The following is a 19,280-nucleotide window of genomic DNA, read 5'->3' as shown; positions in this document are numbered from 1 at the left end:
AGGGAGGAGGCCTTTGACTAGGCCTGAGGTAGCCAGAGAAAACTTTTGGAAGGAAGTGATGCTGAGCTGGATTTTTAAGGATGAATTGGAATTATCTGACATAAAACAAAAGGTGATACTGTCTCAATATTTCTGAATACATTTTACCTCCTTTTTCCAATCTATTTTAAGAGTAAAAAAAATGTCTTCAGGAGAAGACAAGATATTAATGAATAAATGTCCCTTCTGATTACTCTGACTTATAAATGGATTTTCAGTATGTTTGGTTTGCTAACAGGAGGACATTCCCAAATTGTATTAAACAAAGGAAAGATATAGCAAAAAACAGTTACACACTGGATGTTTAGTCATCAAGAATACTATTTTCTTGCCTCTCCAGAGTGTTCACATTGATAAAGAGACGGCGAGTCGACTGAAGTCTATGATTAACACTACTTTGATCATCACCAACATACCCTACATCATCATGGCGCTGGGTGTGTTCTTTGGTTTGGTTTTTACCTGGCTTGCATGCAAAGGACAGGGATCCATGGATGAGGTGAGAACTGGCTGAAGGAACTTCTTCCTTACTGGATAACTTTACCTGAGGAATTCAACTGTACTTCACTGAAGGGCTGTCAGCTGGCTTATTAGGATAAATTCTGGGATTTTATGCTGGGCATAGTGATTTCGTGCTTATTTTACTGCTGGACCAAATGGGAAGCAAAGGAAGTGTGTCAAAGAAGGTGGAGGGTTAGAAGGTACCATCTAATATTTGGGGAATAGAATCTCTTTGGATGTATCCCCTGGGAGTTAACTTTATGTCTTTGAAAACAATAACCTGAAAGAAAAGGAAGAATATATAACAGTTACACATCTGATCTTTGGTGTCAGACTGCCTGAGTTCAAATCCCAGTTCTGCCACTTAACAGCTATACGACCCTAGAAACTGTGCTTCAGTTTCTTCATCTGTAAAATGGGATAATAAAAGCCTCCCTTATGAGTTTTTCATGAGGATTAGATGATATAGTAGACTTAAAGGACTTGGCCCAGTGTTAGCATATAGTAAGAGCTCAATAAAGGTTTAAGTATTATTAAATATGATAAAACAGCTCCAAGATTATAGAGCAAGACAGCCAGGGTCCTGCTTGGAAAGAATCCCTGATGTATCCGAAGATACCTATGATTTAGGTATCACTGCATAATAAATGATTGGAACATGGGTGTAGTTACTTTCCTGGAAGGCTAGGATAAAGAGTTGGGTTCGCCTTTCCAAGTGACCAGCAGCCCAGCCAGGAACCTGAATACCTGCAATGAGCCTTTTCTGTAGAAGCCCTTCTTAAATTTTCTGCAGCTTCCTTTTTTTTACAACAGTGGCCTTTTTTCCTCCAGTTTCCTCAACTAAGTGTCCAAGGCAAATGTGAAGTAGAAAATAAATACGTGAAACCATCTGAGTAAAATTAGCTGAATTTCCCTGACTTCCATATTCTTCCATTATTTCTCTTATCCCCTGCCAGTCACTTTAGCCTGAATTAGCTGTGAGGCAAACTATTTTGCCATTTCTATGTGTGGATCTTCCAGTGTGACTTTATGCAGTCATTGAAATTGTCTTAAGCACAAATGAAACCTCATGGAAATGTTAATTACTGCTCCTACAATTAACCTTCCTCATATATTCAACAAGCAAGGAATTATTGAGAACTAATACCTCTGAGACACTACTCCTTAGTAGGTTTCAAACCAGGAAGGAGGCAAGTTGAATAGAGTCTAAGTTTTATAATCCAGATCAACACAGAGAAGGGTACTGCTCTGGTATTGAGGGTGGGAGTGGTCAGAGAAGGCCTCCTGGAAAGGTTAGGCCTGCTGAATCTTCAAGAACAAGCAGCAGCCCAAGAGGGGAGGTGAGTGAGATGAGCCACCTTCCTATAGGTCTCTCCTCCTTCCATGCCCCCACTCCCCACCCAAACTTTTCACACTGGGGAGAAGTTTCTGACATGAACATCTAACTTGTTTTCTCTCTTCTGTGTTTCAGGGAACAGCGGATGAAAGAGCACCCCTCATTCGAACCTAAACATTGCCTTTGCTTGGTGAAGAAACTGTGTGAGCTGTCCTGACCTGGACGATGACGTGGGGAAACCCTCCACCTCCTTGCAGGCTTGTTGCCTGTTGAAAGAAGGAAAAAGACACGGCGCTGGCAAGTGATAGGAACATTCTGGCCAGAGGTTAAAGAGCAGGCTGACATGGCTGGCCATTAAGCTTTATAAAATCATGTGGGCTCTGAAATTGTTCTTTTATGTGTCTAGCAAGTATTTAATAAACCCTTGTATAGTAATTTTGTTGTTGTTGGGTGCTGGTAGCTCCAGAATTTTGTGACCACTATTGTGGGTAAAATGTCTCTGCATCACTTGTTAATGCTACTGGTCTAACTTCATTCAGTATGCTTCATTCACCGAACTTTGTGCTCAAAATGCGTATATACCATTTTATGTTGTATTCCTCCATTTCACTTGCAAAACAGAAGTAAATAAGAGTTCGGGACCCAGGGTAAAATGGTAGCTTCATCCAATATATCATTCAAATGCATCTGATTTCTAAAACATATTACATTTTATGCTGATCTTCAGTTCATAATTCTTCCAGGAAAACTCAGTCTTCCAACTGCAATAAAATACTGGGTAGAATCAAATGGGAAAGGGGTTGGGTGGGGCAATACCCATGAGTTGATAGTGATAAGCTCCTAAGGATTTTTAACTTGTACTTTTGTGAACGAAGAGAATGCATAAATAATGTTGGTGAGGATAAAGTACAGATATTTCATGTAGAATTAATTGCTAGTTATGATGCTTGTGGATAGTTAACTGTTTTTTTTTTAGTCAAAATGATCATGCTACGAAAAGATGCTTCTGAGAGAATGTAATGAGTAACTGATTTTTCTTCCTGAGTCGCCCTTGCCAAATATGTTACTGTATTAATTAATCTAATATTGAGTGATTATTTGTAAAATTATGAATATGGGAAATCCATCTATCTACAGCCTAAGTTACACATAAGTTTCAGAAAGTCTGATTAGACTAAAGAGATATTTCTTCTGGGACAGCCGCCTTCTTGGTAATTTTGAAGTTCTTTTTACAAGTTCCTTCCTCAGTTTCAGTTCTTTCCAGTGTTTTGTAGCTCACTGTCACTCACTGAATAGAGAAACGTGTGCCCTATACTTCCTGTGACAATCATTTTGCTGACAGAATGATGGATGTTTAAAATATTGCACAAAGTACTTTAAAGAAAGGTCTGTTAGGACCAGAAGCAGAGACACCACTTTTCAAAGGACTTCTTGGTTTCAGCATAACCTAAGACAGGGAATTGGGAGCCATCATATGTCACAGTGTTCAGAATTCAAGCATATTTAAGGGCATTTTCTTTGATTCTCAAAGTTCAGCATTCATTTTGAATTGAGAAGCCTATACATTTAGCTGACAAAGTGCTTATAGAATTTCTTAACAACTGAACCATTCAAAAGGATTTTTTTTGTTTAAAACTGGATTTCAATGTAAGCAAATGAAGAAAAAAATATAGATTTCATTTCCATAGCTTCTTATCCCTGTATTGAGGTAATAAATTGTTTTACTGACAATTTTTCCTTTTTCTACACTAAAACAATATGTGATATATTTCCCCTCTTGAAGAGGCAATTCATTAAACTCTCAAATTTTCTATAGAATCAAGATAGAACCTTTAGATACTCCAACTCACCAAAATGTAAAAAAACTAACAAAAATATTTGGTCTTCAATAATGCTAAATATCTACATTTTTAGAATTTATCAACATTTAACTAGATAATTGGGCATGTCTTAATTATGCATGTACTTATCCATACTAATAAAATTGACAATGCTAGTGCATACTTATTGGTTTAGTCCTATTATCAGGATATAATCATCTGTGAGGAGGATATTTTAAATACTGTAAATGATAACAGTTAATGATATACACATTTAGACTGAGTTGCACACTGGCAGGGAGACCAAAAACATTACTTCCATACTTGTGTCATGATTCTTTTTTTTTTGAGAGAGTCTCACTCTGTCGCCAGGCTGGAGTACAGTGGCATGATCTCGGCTCACTGCAACCTCTGCCTCCCGGGTTCAAGCAATTCTCCTGCCTCAGCCACCCAAGTAGCTGGGACTACAGGTGCGTGCCACCACGCCCAGCTAAATTTTGTATTTTTAGTGGAGACGGGGTTTCACCATGTTGGCCAGGATGGTCTCAATCTCCTGACCCTGCGATCTGCCCACCTCAGCCTCCCAAAGTGCTGGGATTACAGGCGTAAGCCACCGGGCCTGGCCTGTTTTATGATTCTTAATAGTTACTTGGTTTAAATCACATTTGATACTATCCTTCTGAAAAGTCTGAGACAGATCTACAAACTACAGTCAAAATTATAGATTAAGAGGAATGAATGCACCTATTTGGCTTTAAGTTGAAGATGAATTATTTCTCATGCTCATTTTCTTGCGGCAGTTATCTTAGAAAGACCCCCAAAGGCTTTGTGATTGTAAGCACTGTCATGATCACAGAATGCAAGCTTCTGGTACCATGATCCTCAACTTAGAGAGGAAGAAACCAAGACAGAGAGCTTAACTCACTTCTCTCAGGGAAAATTAGGAGTTGAGCACAGGACAGGAAATGGGCTTTGCCACTTTTAGCTCCAGGCTTTTCTAACCAGACTTGATTTCCTCATGTTCTAGAAAGATCACTAATGGTCAAGTGGAACAAGCACTACACGACTAACCCCTATTGGGGTTTTTAACTTAAGGGAGGCTAATTTTTAATTTAAACTGCTCGAGATATGAGTTCTGCAAAAGGTGGTCCGCATCCTTGGCCCTCTGGACATTATCACTAAATTGCTTGTGCCTGTTAACAAGAATACTGACCAGAATGCTCTTCATGTAGCTTATACAGTTGGTTCACTTCATGCGGTTCTTGACATGTTTATTTCTACCCTTAATGCAATGAAATGTTTCATTAATAAAAAACCACTTTATATAAAATTGCTCTAGAAGTCATATGTCATTGGATGTCCTGTTGTTTATGGAGTTTCCCTGGAAAGATGTTCCTTGACAGATGCAGCCCTGAGTCACACACTTGGGCCATGTCTGATTTCAGCTTCGCTGTAGTGGACAGTTACAATCAGCCTGACAAGTTTCACTCCAAGCAGTCCCACATTCTGCTTTTCTGTCTTAAGTCTTTCTCAAGAGCCCTCAAAGCACCATAGGAGTATCAGGGAGTTAATAACCCAAGGCAACCCTCAACTAAATGGGGCAGGAGTCAGTCAGCTGATAGATGTTTCAATCCTCAGAGGACCAGTTCTCAGGCTTATTCCACATGGGTCCTCAATTAGGGTTGCCCACAGTGGTAACTACTTTCTATCAGTGTTTCTTTATTCCCTGTCTTAATCGCCCAGCCCTTCAATGCTGCTTCCCAAATCATCCACCTGTCCTAACATCCTTATCTTAGGTCTGCTTCCAGGTAAACCCAACCAAAATGCAGATAAGTCCACCCAAAAGGGCTCAGTAGGATCCAAGAGCTATTGGAGAGGCACTGGTTTTTTTTGTTTTTTGTTTTTTCTTTTTTTGAGAGAGTCTTGCTCTGTCGCCCAGGCTGGAGTGCAGTCGTGCAATCACGGCTCACTGCAGTCTCGACCTCTTGGACTCAAGTTATTATCCTACCTCAGCCTCCCTAGTGGCTGGGACTACAGGTGTGCACCACCACACCTGGATAATTTTTGTATATTTTGTTGAGACAAGGTTTTGCCATGTTGCCCAGGCTGGTCTTGAACTCCTGGGCTCAAGCAGTCTGCCCACCTCAGCCTCCCAAAGTGCTGAGGCTTTTGTTTCTAGGGATATTTATCTATGGTACTATCTAGGGTACTAAAGTTATTAGTTCTAAAATTCAGATTACCTTTAAAACCTTTCTCATCCCAATATTGCAACTTATTTTTGAAATCAGCAAATCTAGATCAGTCTTAAAATATCTGGCTCAGTGTTACAAATGTCATGTATCAAGGACACTTGATCCCTAAGATACATACTTCCTAGGAATCCTAACTCTGCAGCTGGTTTATGTCACAGGGAAGCTCCTTGTACCTATTTCTTCTTACTCAAGGTAGTTAGAGACACCTGGAACTTTGTAACATGCCAAGCCTAGTTATTTCAAATCAGGGAGTAAGAAAAATCCAGAAAAAAAAATTTAAAACAATAAGGTATGTTAAAACATATATCCATTAGCAATAAGAAAATAGTATAGGATGAGTGGTATAGAATACAAAGTATAAAAAGATGTATACACATTCAGCACAAGATAAAGATCTCATTTCCAATAACTATATTTTTTCATTTAGTCAAGTTTTTAAACACCTTTATTGAGGTATAATTTACATACCATAAAAGTCACCCATTTTAAATGTACAATGATTTTTAGTAAATTTACTGAGTTGTGCAGTTTTAGAACATTTCCATAACCTCAATAAAATTCCTCATGCCAGTTTATAGCCACTCAGCGTTGCCAACCCTAGCCCCTGGCAAACCACTAATCATCTGTCGGTCTTTATAGATTTGCCTTCTCGAGACATTTTATATAATCATACAGTATGTGGTATTTGGATCCTGGCTTCTTTCTACATTATACCTAAAAATGTGTTCAACTAATTTCATTAAGCACTCACTTTATGCTAGGCACTTTGAATATAAACTAGGCTACTGGTTTAAAAGAGATCTATGGATCTTATGGTCTAGTGTGGAAAACAGTAACCAAATAATCATACAGATAAATGTAAAATTTCAACTGAGTTCATTGTTTTGGGAACATGACTAGGAGCTGGAGTTAATTAAGCAAAGCAAGGTATTTCAGACAAAAGGAACAGGACATGGTCAAGGGCAGGAGGAAACGTGTTTACTACAAGTGACTGAGAAAATATTTGGCTGCAGTCCAGAGAGGGATGAACGGTGGGAAATAAGGCTGGAGAAAAAGGCAGAGGCCAGATCATCTTGAGTCTCATTAAACCATATTAAAGATTTGGGTATTTTGGTATGTCTTAAGACCAATGGGGAGCTATTGTGTTTTCAATTGGGTTGTGGGAGGAAGGTGGGCAAGTCTGTTTAGAAAGACCCATTCTAGCTGCAAGATGAAGACTACAATTGAAGAGAATCAACATGGATGCAGAGAGATCAATTAGGAGCTGTTGTGCTAGGTCTCCATTGGCATGCAAGATGGGTCTTCTGGGTCATCAGCTGTCATACACCACCCTTCAGGGTGAATCCACAAAGCTACATAGCATGGGTTAAGGAATGAGCTTCACTGGAGGAAATACAAATTTACAGGGCCGGGAAAAAAGAAGGTACCATCCTCATGTTATCCCATGGAGAGGTGAGCCAAGGCCCACAACGCTGTTTGGTTTCAGAAGAGCACATCCTACTAGTCTCCCCTTTAATAGGGCAAGCTTGAAGAAGCAGTCTCGTCAACGGGAGAATACACAAGGTGCTGAGCAACAGGTGGTTTGGATTTGGAGTGCCAATGATTTACAGGAGTTGTCTGGAAATGCCAGCTGTCCATGGAATGTTAAAAATCTCCACTCCTGTGATGAAGAAGGCACCAGTCCCATGGGAACCTGAGCTTGGGTGCAGCCTTTTCCCTAGAAGGAGGAAACCCCAGCCACAGCTAACTTATTCTGCAGGCAACCAAGAATGAACTGCCAAGGTCATAGACAGTCTTGCTCATTATGCTATGGGAGCTGCTGCAGTAGTCTAGGTGGGGTTTGAAAAACTTCTCCAAAGGGCCATACAGAAAATCGTTTTGCTTTGCAAGCCAGGTGCCCTGTCACAACTATTCAATTCTGTTCTTAACAGCATGAAAGCAGCTAAAGACAACACATAAATGATGTCTCTATGTTCCAACAAAAGAGTATTTTACAAAAATCAGCAGTGGGCTGGATTTGGCCCCTGTATCTCAGGCTCCCTTGAGGGCTCTCTGCTCTCTTCTTACTACTAGTGCTCAGCTACAACCTCTTCTCACTTGATACTCTCTCCCTGACAATCCCATTTACCTCCCAGACTTCAATTACAACCTAAACACAGGTTGGGTTGTGTTCTGAATTGTGCATTTTTCATGTAATTTTTTTTTCAACTCCAAGGATGAACATTCCACATGTAATTTATCTTTGAGGTCTTTCTTTCCACAATACAGGTTGGTTTGTGTTTGGGTTGTAATTGAAGTCGGCGAAGTAAATGGGATTTACTGTTCAGCTTCAGCCTCACATATCCAGACACCTGCTGGATATCCTTAGCCAGGATGCCTCAAATGCAGTAAGTAAAGGAACTCATTTTTCTTTTCTTCCCAAATTCCCATTACTAGAAAATAGCATCACAATCATATCTCACTGTATAGCCAGAAATCAGGGACTCATGCTAGACTCCTCCTTTCCCTCCCCTCCATATACAATCAATTAAGCAATCACCCATCAGTCTTCATTCCTGCTGTCCTCACCTGCACATCTGCACTGTCACTAGGAATCCTGCAAAAGAAAGACCACGTGGGCGCCAGATATCGGGGAACCTGCCCCGATAATCACGTAGGTTCTTTTCTATTTTTCGTAAGCGTCGGCCGGCTTGAGAAATAAAGGGACAGAGTACAAAAAGAGAGAAATTTTAAAGCTGGGCGTCGGGGGGAGACATAACACATTGGTAGGATCCGTGATGCCCCACAAGCCACAAAAACCAGCAAGTTTTTATTAGGGAGTTTCAAAAGGGGAGGGAGTGTGCGAATAGGTGTGGGTGACAGACATCAAGTACTTAACAGGGTAATAGAATATCACAAGGTAAGTGGAGGCAGGGCGAGGTCACAGGACCACAGGACCGAAGCAAAATTAAAATTGCTAATGAAGTTTCAGGCACCATTGTCATTAATAACATCTTATCAGGAGACAGGGTTTTGAGATCAACCAGTCTGACCAAAATTTATTAGGCGGGAATTTCCTCTTCCTAATAAGCCTGGGAGTGCTATGGGAGACTGGAGTTTATTTCATCTCTGCAGCCTCGACCATAAGAGACGGCTAAGCCCAGGGGGGTCAGTTCAGAGACCTACCCGCAGGCACACATTCTCTTTCTCAGGGATGTTCCATGCTGAGAAAAAGAATTCAGCGATATTTCTCCCATTTGCTTTTGAAAGAAGAGAAATATGGCTCTGTTCCGCCCAGCTCACCAGCGGTCAGAGTTTAAGGTTATCTCTCTTATTCCCTGAACAATTGCTGTTATCCTGTTATTTTTTCAAGGTGCCCACATCTCATATTGCTCAAACACACATGCTGTACAATTTGTGCAGTTAATGCAATTATTACAGGGTCCTGAGGTGACATACATCCTCCTCAGCTGACAGGATTAAGAGATTAAAGTAAAGACAGGCATAGGAAATCACAAGGGTATTGACTGGGGAAGTGATAAGTGTCCATGAAATCTTTACAGTTTATGTTTAGAGATTGCAGTAAAGACAGGCATAAGAAATTATAAAAGTATTAATTTGGGGAACTAATAAATGTCCATAAAATCTTCACAATCCACATTCTTCTGCCATGGCTTCAGCCGGTCCCTCCGTTTGGGGTCCCTGACTTCCCGAAACAATTAGCATTACTTAGGGTTTTTTGTATGTGTGTTTTGTTTTTTGAGACAGAGTCTGTCACCAGGCTATAGTGGCGCGATCTTGGCTCACTGCAACCTCCACCTCCCGAGTTCAAGCGATTCTCCTGCCTCAGCCTCCCAAGTAGCTGGGACTACAGGCGCGTGCCACTACGCCTGGCTAATTTTTTGTATTTTTAGTAGAGACAGGGTTTCACCATATTAGCCAGCATTACTTAGTTTTTTAAATAAGTAACCCTTCTACATTTTCAGAATGCATAAAACGGGTTTAGGGTAAAAGTCTTCCTCTACCCATTTCCTAGCCACCCAATACATCTTCCCACATGCAACCAATATTATTTGGTTTTTCAAATGTATTTTTCCAGGAATATTTTGTACAAATTATGTGTATTTATATATTCTAGCCCTCTTTTTTTTAAAACCCAAATTGTAGCATACATACAGTGTTCTGAATTGTGCATTTTTCATGTAATTTTGTTTTTTCAACTCCAAGGATGAACATTCCACATGTAATTTATCTTTGAGGTCTTTCTTTTCAGTACATAAAGGGCTTTTTTGTTCCCAGTTCATAGCGGAATAGTATTCCTTTGTATAAAAGCAACAATTTATTTACCCAAACCCTGGTTTGTTTCCAATCATTATTATAGATAGTGTTGTAATGAATTACCTTGTATTCCATTATTTTGCCAAATCATTTATAAGATAAATTCCTAGAAGTAGCATTGCTGGGTCAAACGACATTAGTAATTTTAATAAGTACAAAGGCTTTTTGTTATTGTTTGTTTTCATTTTTATTAAAGTTATACATATAAGCACATACTAACAATCAAACAATTCTACAATTGTTATTTTTAAAAAAGATAAGAAAAGCAGATACTACTCTCAGAGTGCTTGCAGGCACCTCTTTTAGCCTTTTTTTTTTTTTAAATTTACCCCCTTGTCTCCAGATAAATGATACGCTGCTTGGTGAATTTTGTTTCAGCATTACCCACTGACTCCCCACCATGGAGGATGAGGGCTTAGCTCTTTTCTATGCACATAAATATTCTTTTCATTCCCCCATCTTTCCAGTATAGTTATGCCATAATTTTGTCTAGCTCAATATTCAATTCACATTATTGGGATGATGTGGAAACTGCACAATTGAGCCATGTAGTAACATTTCAACACTTTTCCTTTCTCATCTAATATTAATTGTCCCACTGGCTTAGTTTTCATGTATTTATTACCAATTCAACCCCAACCTTGTTGCTGATTGTCTAAGTCTCTCTCAAATTGCTCATCCTTATGAAGTAGCCTTCCCCAGAACCTGACTTGCTACAGTCTGGACTGGTTGCTCTCCAAGTCATCCTGAGGATTCCTGCCATCTGTGTTGGAGCTCCTAATGTCTTCCTCTTTCAGCATTGGCTCCATCTTGGTGGCAAACATCCTCTAGTAACTAACTGCCTAAGAAATAGGAGGTATTTTGTTTTTTAATAGTTTTTTTTTTGTCTAAAAATGCTATTATTCTCCCTTCATAGTTGATCTATAAGTTGGCTGGGAATAGAATTGTAGCTGGAAATAATTTGTATTCAGAAATTCAAAGGCATTTCTCAACTGCCTTCTAGCTAGTGTTACCATTGAGAAGTCTGATGCCATTTTGATTCTTGTTTTTGTGTGTGTGACCTCTTTTACTCTCTGGAAACTTCTTTGCCATCATGGTTCTGTTATTTTGGAATGTGCCTTAGTGTGAGTCTATTTTGATTAATTGTAATGAGCATTTGGTGAACCATTTTCAACCCAGCAGTGTCTTTCAATTATGATAAATTTTCTTGAATTATTTAATAATTTCCTCAGCTGTGCTGCCTTCTTGAACAGTCACAAGTATACTATTTTTTTTTTCTTTATTTTTGAGACAATGTTTCACTCCGTCACCCAGGCTGGAGTGCAGTGGCATGATGGCTGCTCACTGCAGCGTCAACCTCTGGGGCTATTGGCGTGTGCCACACCTGGCTAATTTGGTCTATTTTTTTTTTTTTTTGTAGAGATGGGGTCTCCCTATATTACCCAGGCTGGTCTCAATCTCCCCAGCTCAGTGACTCTGCCGCCTTGGTCCCCCAAAGTGCTGGGATTACAAGTATGAGCCACTGCACTTGGCCCACAAGTGTACTATTAACTCAATATCTGGTTTTCCCTCACTCAACTGTAAGTTCTCAAAGGCACAAACCATACCTTTTTTGTTTAGCACTCAGAATAGTACCAAGTACATAGTAGGACTCAATAAACTCTGAATGAACGAATAATAGGAAGAGACCAAATCTTGAAGGACTTTAAAGGACAGATTTTTCTCTATACTCTTTCTGAAATTATTGTATTAGTGTGCATGATATAACAGTGTGTGTGATAGAGGGCTTTTTGAACTAGTCCTCTAGTTTTAGTTTCTCCTCAATTTTCCATCCTTGGTCTTTTTGTTTTTCTTTCTGAGAGATTTCTTCACCTTTATCTTCCGACACTTCTACTGGGTTTTTCATTTCTGGTAATAGCTTTAAAATTCCAATAGCTCTCTTTTGTTCTGCTAAGAATACCTTTCTTTGAAAATAATAACATCCTGATATTATTTCATGGTTACAATATCTCTTCCTATCTCTCTGCGGATATGTTCACTTTTTAAAAGTTTTATTCTCCTTGCAGTTAGTTTCCTCCAAGCTGCTTTTGCTGCTCTATTTGTTTTGACCTCTATACATTGTGTTAAAGGCTCTCCTCAGCTTGGTAATCCTTGCTGGTCTACTCATATATAAGAGTGGGACTTAAAAGCTGAATGGAAGTTCTGAGTGCCTTAGTGAGGCTTGCAAAGTGTGAGCTTTATTATAAAGCAGGATTTCTCAAACTCTGTAATAGTGGTATTTGGGGCCAGGTAATTTTTTGTTTGGGTAGGAAGGGAGTCTGTCCTAGAGTATTTTGCAGCATCTTCAACTTCTACTCAATAGATGCCTGTAAGATCTTCCCAATTGCAACCACCAAAACTGTCTGTAGACACTGCCAGATGTGCCAGGGGATGGGAGAAGTAGAAAATTGGCACCAGTTGAGAACCACTGCTATAATGTCATGTGGCTAAATCATTTATTTAGAGATTTCTGATGTCAGATGATTGTCTTTTCTTTGATACTGGTCATTTCACCCATAAAAAATTCTCCTATATCTTCCTGGAGGGCGAAGGCCTGGCTGCCAATGTTCTGGGAGCAGTAGGGGAAGGTGTGTATAGGCATGCATTTCCACTCAGTCTTCCACCATTCAGTAGGGCACTACCCACTCTCAATAATGTCTGGTGCCCCCAAGTCCAGAGACACTACTATTTTTTTTTTTTTTACACTGACGGGGGGTGGGGGGGAGTCCCCACTGTGTTGCCCAGGCTGGCTGAACTCCTAGGCTCAAGCAATCCTCCCACATCAGCTTTCCGAGTAGATGGGACTATAGGCTGGTGCCACTGTGCCTGGCAAATACTATTTTAATCACTGTAGAGAAGAATCCTCCATTATTTTTCTAGAGTGGGGAAGAAGCATTCACTTGGCTGCACGAGGTCAGAAGAGGATTTGGGGAGCTCTAACTGCTTCTTAAATAGACTTTCAACCAGTTCCTCTCATTTTAACTTCCCTTTACCCCAACTTATGAAGATACGTGATATCTCCAATTCCTGAGCTTCTGGCAGATTCCATAAATTAATCATTGGTTTTCCTTTCTGCTAGACTGGGAGGGCTGTTTGTTTTTTTAAGGTAAGCTGAGTACTTAGCCATTAGACAATGTGCTAAATCAGGGGTGTCCAATCTTTTGGCTTCCCTGGGCCACGCTGGAAGAAGAAGAATGGTTGTTTGTTTTTTTAAGGTAAGCTAAGTACTTAAGCGTTAGGCTATGTGCTAAATCAGGGGTGTCCAATCTTTTGGCTTCCTTGGGCCACACTGGAAGAAGAAGAATTGTCTTGGGCCACACATAAAATACACTAACAATAGCTGATGAGCTTTAAAAAAAATCGCAAAAAACCTCACAATGTTTCAATAAAGTTTACGAATTTGTGTTGGGCTGCATTCAAAGCCATCCTAAGCCATGAGCCACATGTGGCCTGTGGGCCGCAGCTGGACAAACTGCTGGTAAATCAAAGCTCCTTAACATGCTAAGGAAGGTCTTTCAAGATCTGGTTTCCACCTATCTGTCATTCATTCATTATTTATTTCCCCCTGTTATATGCCAGGCACTTGTGATGGGCATGGAACAAGAGGGACATGGTTCTTGCACTTATGGAATATATACTATTGTAAGGAAAAATTAGATTGATAAATTATCTGTGACAAACAGTGAAAGAAGGCAGGGCAGTGGGTATGAGAGCATACTCAGTTTGTAGGAGTCAGACACGGGTCCACCATTCACCAACTTGCCCAAGCCAGAAAGCAGGAGGTTGTCCTTGAATCCTTACTTCCCACGTCCAAATACTACGAGTCTCATATATGCTATTTCTTAAGTATCTCTCAAATTTATTCTCCTAATTCCACTGCCAGATGTAATCCAAGTCATTATCATCTCCTACCTGTGCAACTACAACAGACTCCTAAAAGCTCTATCTTCCTCAGGCATTCTGGCTCCTTCCAATCCATTCTCCTTATGGCAGCCAGAGGGATCTTCTAAAAACAAAATTCTAGTCATACTAGTCCTCTGCCTAAAACCCCTTAAAGGTTTCCCATTACCCTCAAGAAATAGTCTGAAATCCTTACCATAATTTACAAGGCAATATAATATAATGGTAATTTTTACAAATTGGGACTCTGGAGTGGAGAAACATGAGTCCAAAACCAGACTCCAGAACCTACCTGCAAGGTGACTTTGGGCAAGCTGCTTAACAACTCCAAACCTCAATTCTCTCATCTCACCTGCAAAATACAGTTACAGAATCTTCTCTATTTATTTATTCTGAGGATTAAATTATATTACAAGTACAACAGAGGGGGCCCACTCTTCCCCTCTTTTTCAGTGCTCCCCTTAGAGCTGTGGTTAGGAGTATTTACTCTGTAAACAGCCTGACCCTTTGGTACCTGTTTCCTCTTTTATAAATTGGAGATAGCAGCAACCCACCTCATAAGATAGCTGATTAAATTATGTAAAATGTCTAGAAGAGTGCCTGGCACATAGTAAACGCAACGTGTTTGCTACAATTCCATTCGCTTTCATTTCTTCCAACGTGCATCCTCTTTACTGCTTCTGCTCCGTCTACTCATCCTTCAGCACTGGGTTCAAATACCACCTCCTCGTGGGTGTTGGGGGGGTTCTCAACCCCAGCCCTGCTGCCCGACCTCCCAGGCCCGCTAGTTGATGAGGCAGCAACTTCAACCCTACCACATACAAATTCTAGCTGTCTACCGCGTATCCCTACAGTAACAACTTCAGCCTCTGCACACCTTTCCCAAAGAACCTCCCTACGGCAGTTTTTAAAGGACTCTCAGGCGGCACACCCTCGCGAGCGTCCCAGCATTTTACCTTAACAGTGACACCCCACAGCATGTGAAGCCCACCGGAAGTGAGCTGGCTGGGGGCGTTCCCTCACAACCACCCACCTCCTACGCCCTTGGCGCCTTCCGGCCTCTTAGGCTAGGTCAGAAAGGAGGCGGAACTCGGTGATCTGACTGGCGGTTTCCCGGCCGGACTGAGAAGGGGAGCGCGCTGCGCGTCGCAGGAGTAACCTACTTGGTCTCCTGCTTTCGCGACATGGCCTTCAATTTTGGGGCTCCCTCGGGCACCTCCGGTACCGCTGCAGCCACCGCGGCCCCCGCGGGTGAGTGATCCCCCTAGACCTTCACCCGGGAAGAAGGGGAAGGGTCTGGTCCGCCCCCTCTGTCCGAGACTCTCCGACCTGGGGATCCTGGAATCTCCCGCCGACGCGGAGACTTTAGAGGCATTGGAAAAGGGCGGGCGGCGGCAGAGTGGGCCGAGGCGGCACCCGAGGAGGCCACGGGGGTACTCGGGGTCCCACTAGAAGCTCGCTTGCCGCGCGTGAGTTTCCACAGGGCCCTGGCTTGAGCGGTTCGCTTCCCGCTGCCGGGGAGTCCTACTCAGAGAAATTGGAGGTTGCTTCCCTCTCCCCTTGCCCGAGAACCTCCCTCCCCTCTGCACCTCAGCCTCCTGGATGGGCGGGAACGCTTGCGTGGTTCCCGCTGCCGGACTCGGCGAGGATAGGGCTGGGGATCCACCGGCACTGCCCATTGACTCCCTTAGTTCCACCCCCGGCCCCCTGTGGTCCTCGCTGTGGGGTTTATCCGTCATGCTTCTTCCATCTGCCCCACCCCACCCCCACTCTGCTTTCTTAAACTGTTTGGAGCAAAACCAGGTTTGTTCACTTCTGTGAAACCTCCTGCTGATTCTTCTAATCCTTATCTTGCTTTCTTTTCTTTTTCCCTCTCCCCCTTTTTAAAATTTTGTTTCTTTGCCTACACGCCTATCAGGATTTGGTGGGCTTGAGACTGCCAACTCCACCGCCAGTGGGTTTAATTTTGGGGGTTTCGGATTAACTGCTAATCCTGCAGTGAACTTTAATATTGGGAATTTCGGTGTTTCTACTACCTCGGCGACTCCGTTCAATTTTGGTAACAGTCTGGCAAGTGCAGGTAGATACTGCGGGTTGTATGTGTAACCAGTGTTGGGAGCTGGAGTCCAAGAATATTGTGGTTCCTGGAGTTTGGGAAAGAACAGTTACTTGTCTAATAGGGAAAGGAAATTTATTTCCTTATCTCGAATCAAAAACATCTGTATCAAGTTTTTACTGCCTTAAAAGATGTGGTTTAGGAAAGTTTTGCAAGTTACAGTGTTCCTTTATTAAATGTGCACTTATCTTCCAAATGATAAGCATTTGGATTATAATTTTGAATAGATCTTTAAAATTATTAGGTAGGACTTCCAAAGTATAAACTCACCACCAGTCAAGCCCATCCTGGGATTCTTGGACTCCTGCAGTCATTTTTCATTTTTTCTGCATCTTTCATTGAGATTTCATTTTATTGTCCTTGTGTTTCCAAAGAGAAACAAGTCTTATACGAACAGCAGTAACCTGTTTTGTTTTTTAACTTGTGTTATAATGATAATAATGTATTTCTTTGGTCAACTCAGCAGATTAGGATACTATAAGATGTGTAATTTCTATAAGATTTGTAATTATAGAAAGAATCCCCAGTTCTTTGCTGGAATTTTGGGAAATGCTCAAAGAGAGCAGTTTAGTTTTATGTGATATAGCATCGAATTCTAAAAGGTAAGCTAGACGTCTTTGCATTCAAAAAGATAATTATGAAGATTTTCATATGCACGTGGGTTGTTTGCAGCTCATTAGAAATTTTGCAAAACAATAATGATATATACATTTAAAATAGGTTTATGGGTACTTTACATAGTGACACTGTAGAAAAAAACTTGTTCTTCAGCTGCTCGTATATGAATTTATCGTCCATAGTCTCTTACGTTATGCCTCTTGTGCCCATGCCAATTATATGCATTTGATAAACATTATTTACTCCCTAAAAGTTAATTGGGAAGTTTGTTATTTTGTTCATTCACTGGTTACTGCAATGTGATTATCACCCTAGCATCTGAGTTGAAAACAGTTCGAAGAATATTTGAAAACTTCAAAGACAAGATGATGCATTTTAATTAAGATGTATTCGAAGTAATCACATATCACTGTCCTTTGATGTGTTTACTTTTCCTTGTTTGCTTAAAATTGGCACTGGGTAAAACAGAAATCTTACTTTGAAATTTGTGTTTCTGAATAAAGCCACCCAGCTCATAATTCAACAACAATAAATAAACTTGTTGGTATTTGCTTGATTTCATGTTCATTTGGAGTTATCACTGTTAAGTTTTGAGTTATGATAATGTAATATGTTTTAACTACTTTTATATGTGTTAACCTTCAGCAAAGGGCTGATAGACTTTCTTGTTTACTTTTTATTTTGTATACTTGCAGATCTGCTATTACTAAAACATTTTTGATGTTGTGGAGCATGATGAGAAACTGACTAGTGTTTCTATTGCGTAGCCAATTCAGATTATATCATAGTTATTCTATGGAAGTGAAGAATAATGAAAAGAAATTACAACAGTGCTTAGTACTGTGGGTGACTTTTATGAAAATGTTTATAGTTTGCAGTACTGCAGTAGAACCTACAAGTAAATAGAATATTTAGTTGTGCCTGCATGCAACATGCAGCTTACTCTTGAGTAGTTTTCCAAATCAGAATGAGGTGATTAATATAAAATGGTTGCATGTTTTTCTTCTTGTATTTTCTATATTGCAATATTGATGAATCTGTGTTGTATACCAGAAATAAATGAGATTAAAGGAAGATTCCAAAAAATCTGCAATATAATTCGACACTAATGGTTCAAACATTTGTCTTGAAAGGCTTTTTGATACCACATTGGTAATCAGCTGAAGACTGACAATAAGTTACAAAAATAACAAAACAATTTTAGATTGGCTAGCATTCCATTTATCTGTCAAATCTCTTCCTTCAAGAAACACATTCTTGTTGTTTGGAGGTAAGTATATTGGTATGCTTCCTTTGAAAAGTTACTTAGTCTTGACAGAGACTAAGTAGAAATATAAGTTAATTTAGACATAAATTAATTCACCAAAACCAAGGTTGCTAACTGGCAACAAGTCTGCCAATGTGATATGTTTGGCATGCTGTTTTCAAAACATTTGAATTCCTTGCAAAAAAAAGTAGTTGAATTAGGGTTTAAAAACCAATAAATTTTTTTTTTTTTTTTTTTTTTGAGACGGAGTCTCACCCTGTCGCCCGGGCTGGAGTACAGTGGCAAGATCTTGGCTCACTGCAAGCTCCACCTCCCGGGTCCACGCCATTCTCCTGCCTCAGCCTCCTGAGTAGCTGGGACTACAGGCGCCCGCCGCCACGCCCGGCTAATTTTTTGTATTTTTAGTAGACACGGGGTTTCACCGTGTTAGCCAGGATGGTCTCGATCTCCTGACCTTGTGATCCACCCCCCTCGGCCTCCCAAAGTGCTGGGATTACAGGCATGAGCCACCGCGCCCAGCCAAAAACCAATAAATTTTACATAGAAAATCCAGATTTCCTGTTTCTCTTGGGGTAAAAAATGGGAATATGTGACACTGCTAAACTACCTTTCTTGTATCTGCTGGAATTTAGGAACTGCTGATCTAAAAAACTATTCATTTTAAACAGTTCCACCTATCAGTAAACACATAGTCTACTTTACTCTTTACTGTTATCAGTCTAAATCTTCTAGGCATATGAATTTGCAACACCTCCTCTAAAAGTACATACATAGTCATTTTAGAATTATGGCAATAGGCTTAATGTGTTTTCTCAGCTGTAACTGTTAACCACCCCTTTAATTGAAGGGTATATATTACATTGTGATATTTCTATTTTAAATGCTTAGTTCATTTCTTGTAACATTTTGACTTCTTGATTGGTAGTATAGTTTTTTAAAAAATTGATCTTGAAAGTAGGGAAAGGAAAAATTAGATCAATATATTTTGATTTTATATGTAGCAATTATAAAATAATTTTAAAAAGAAGTTGCCTTTATATATACAAAAGATTCTTCCTTTCTATTTTTGTTCTTT

The 19,280-nt window shown here is 40.3% G+C and overlaps 2 protein-coding genes and 1 long non-coding RNA gene across 15 annotated transcripts in view, besides 2 other annotated features; 2 read left to right on the top strand and 1 right to left on the bottom strand.

The window, feature by feature from the left end:
• Window positions 1-5,026, top strand: part of SCARB2 (scavenger receptor class B member 2) — a 75,796-nt gene extending 70,770 nt beyond the window's left edge. For all 4 annotated transcript variants that reach the window (XM_047416429.1, NM_001204255.2, NM_005506.4 and 1 more), the window contains 2 exons: window positions 380-538; window positions 2,012-5,026. In XM_047416429.1, coding sequence (XP_047272385.1) covers window positions 380-538; window positions 2,012-2,050 — 198 coding nt within the window. In that variant the 3' untranslated portion in view covers window positions 2,051-5,026. The remainder of the gene's footprint in view (window positions 1-379; window positions 539-2,011) is intronic.
• On the bottom strand, window positions 4,996-15,214 carry LOC124900718 (uncharacterized). Its single transcript, XR_007058144.1, has 2 exons — window positions 15,161-15,214; window positions 4,996-14,556 (listed from the first exon to the last, which is right to left on the bottom strand). It is a non-coding gene; the product is annotated as an uncharacterized LOC124900718 (long non-coding RNA).
• Window positions 8,586-9,415: an enhancer, noted in NCBI's record as "NANOG hESC enhancer chr4:77075501-77076330 (GRCh37/hg19 assembly coordinates)". NCBI's record gives its function as "activates a minimal SCP1, AML or CMV promoter by ChIP-STARR-seq in primed H9 embryonic stem cells {active_cell/tissue: H9 hESC(primed)}" and the evidence as "EXISTENCE:reporter gene assay evidence [ECO:0000049][PMID:30033119]".
• Window positions 15,257-15,416: an enhancer, noted in NCBI's record as "active region_21626". NCBI's record gives its function as "activates an Ori minimal core promoter by ATAC-STARR-seq in GM12878 lymphoblastoid cells {active_cell/tissue: GM12878}" and the evidence as "EXISTENCE:reporter gene assay evidence [ECO:0000049][PMID:35858748]".
• Window positions 15,366-19,280, top strand: part of NUP54 (nucleoporin 54) — a 33,734-nt gene continuing 29,819 nt past the window's right edge. For 7 of the 10 annotated variants that reach the window (NR_103781.2, NR_103780.2, XM_047415783.1 and 4 more), the window contains exon 1: window positions 15,366-15,455. Coding sequence is in view for 5 of the 10 variants with exons in the window: in XM_047415783.1 (XP_047271739.1) it covers window positions 15,389-15,455 (67 nt within the window). In the remaining 5 variants the exon portion in view is untranslated. Of the gene's footprint in view, window positions 18,209-19,280 lie in introns of all 10 variants that reach the window. The other 3 variants (NR_103782.2, XM_047415785.1, XM_047415784.1) reach the window with 3 other exon arrangements.

Source organism: Homo sapiens, chromosome 4 (genome assembly GCF_000001405.40).
Source record: "Homo sapiens chromosome 4, GRCh38.p14 Primary Assembly".
In the NCBI taxonomy this organism is placed as follows: Eukaryota; Metazoa; Chordata; class Mammalia; order Primates; family Hominidae; genus Homo; species Homo sapiens.
This window is presented reverse-complemented; position numbering and strand designations above follow the sequence as displayed.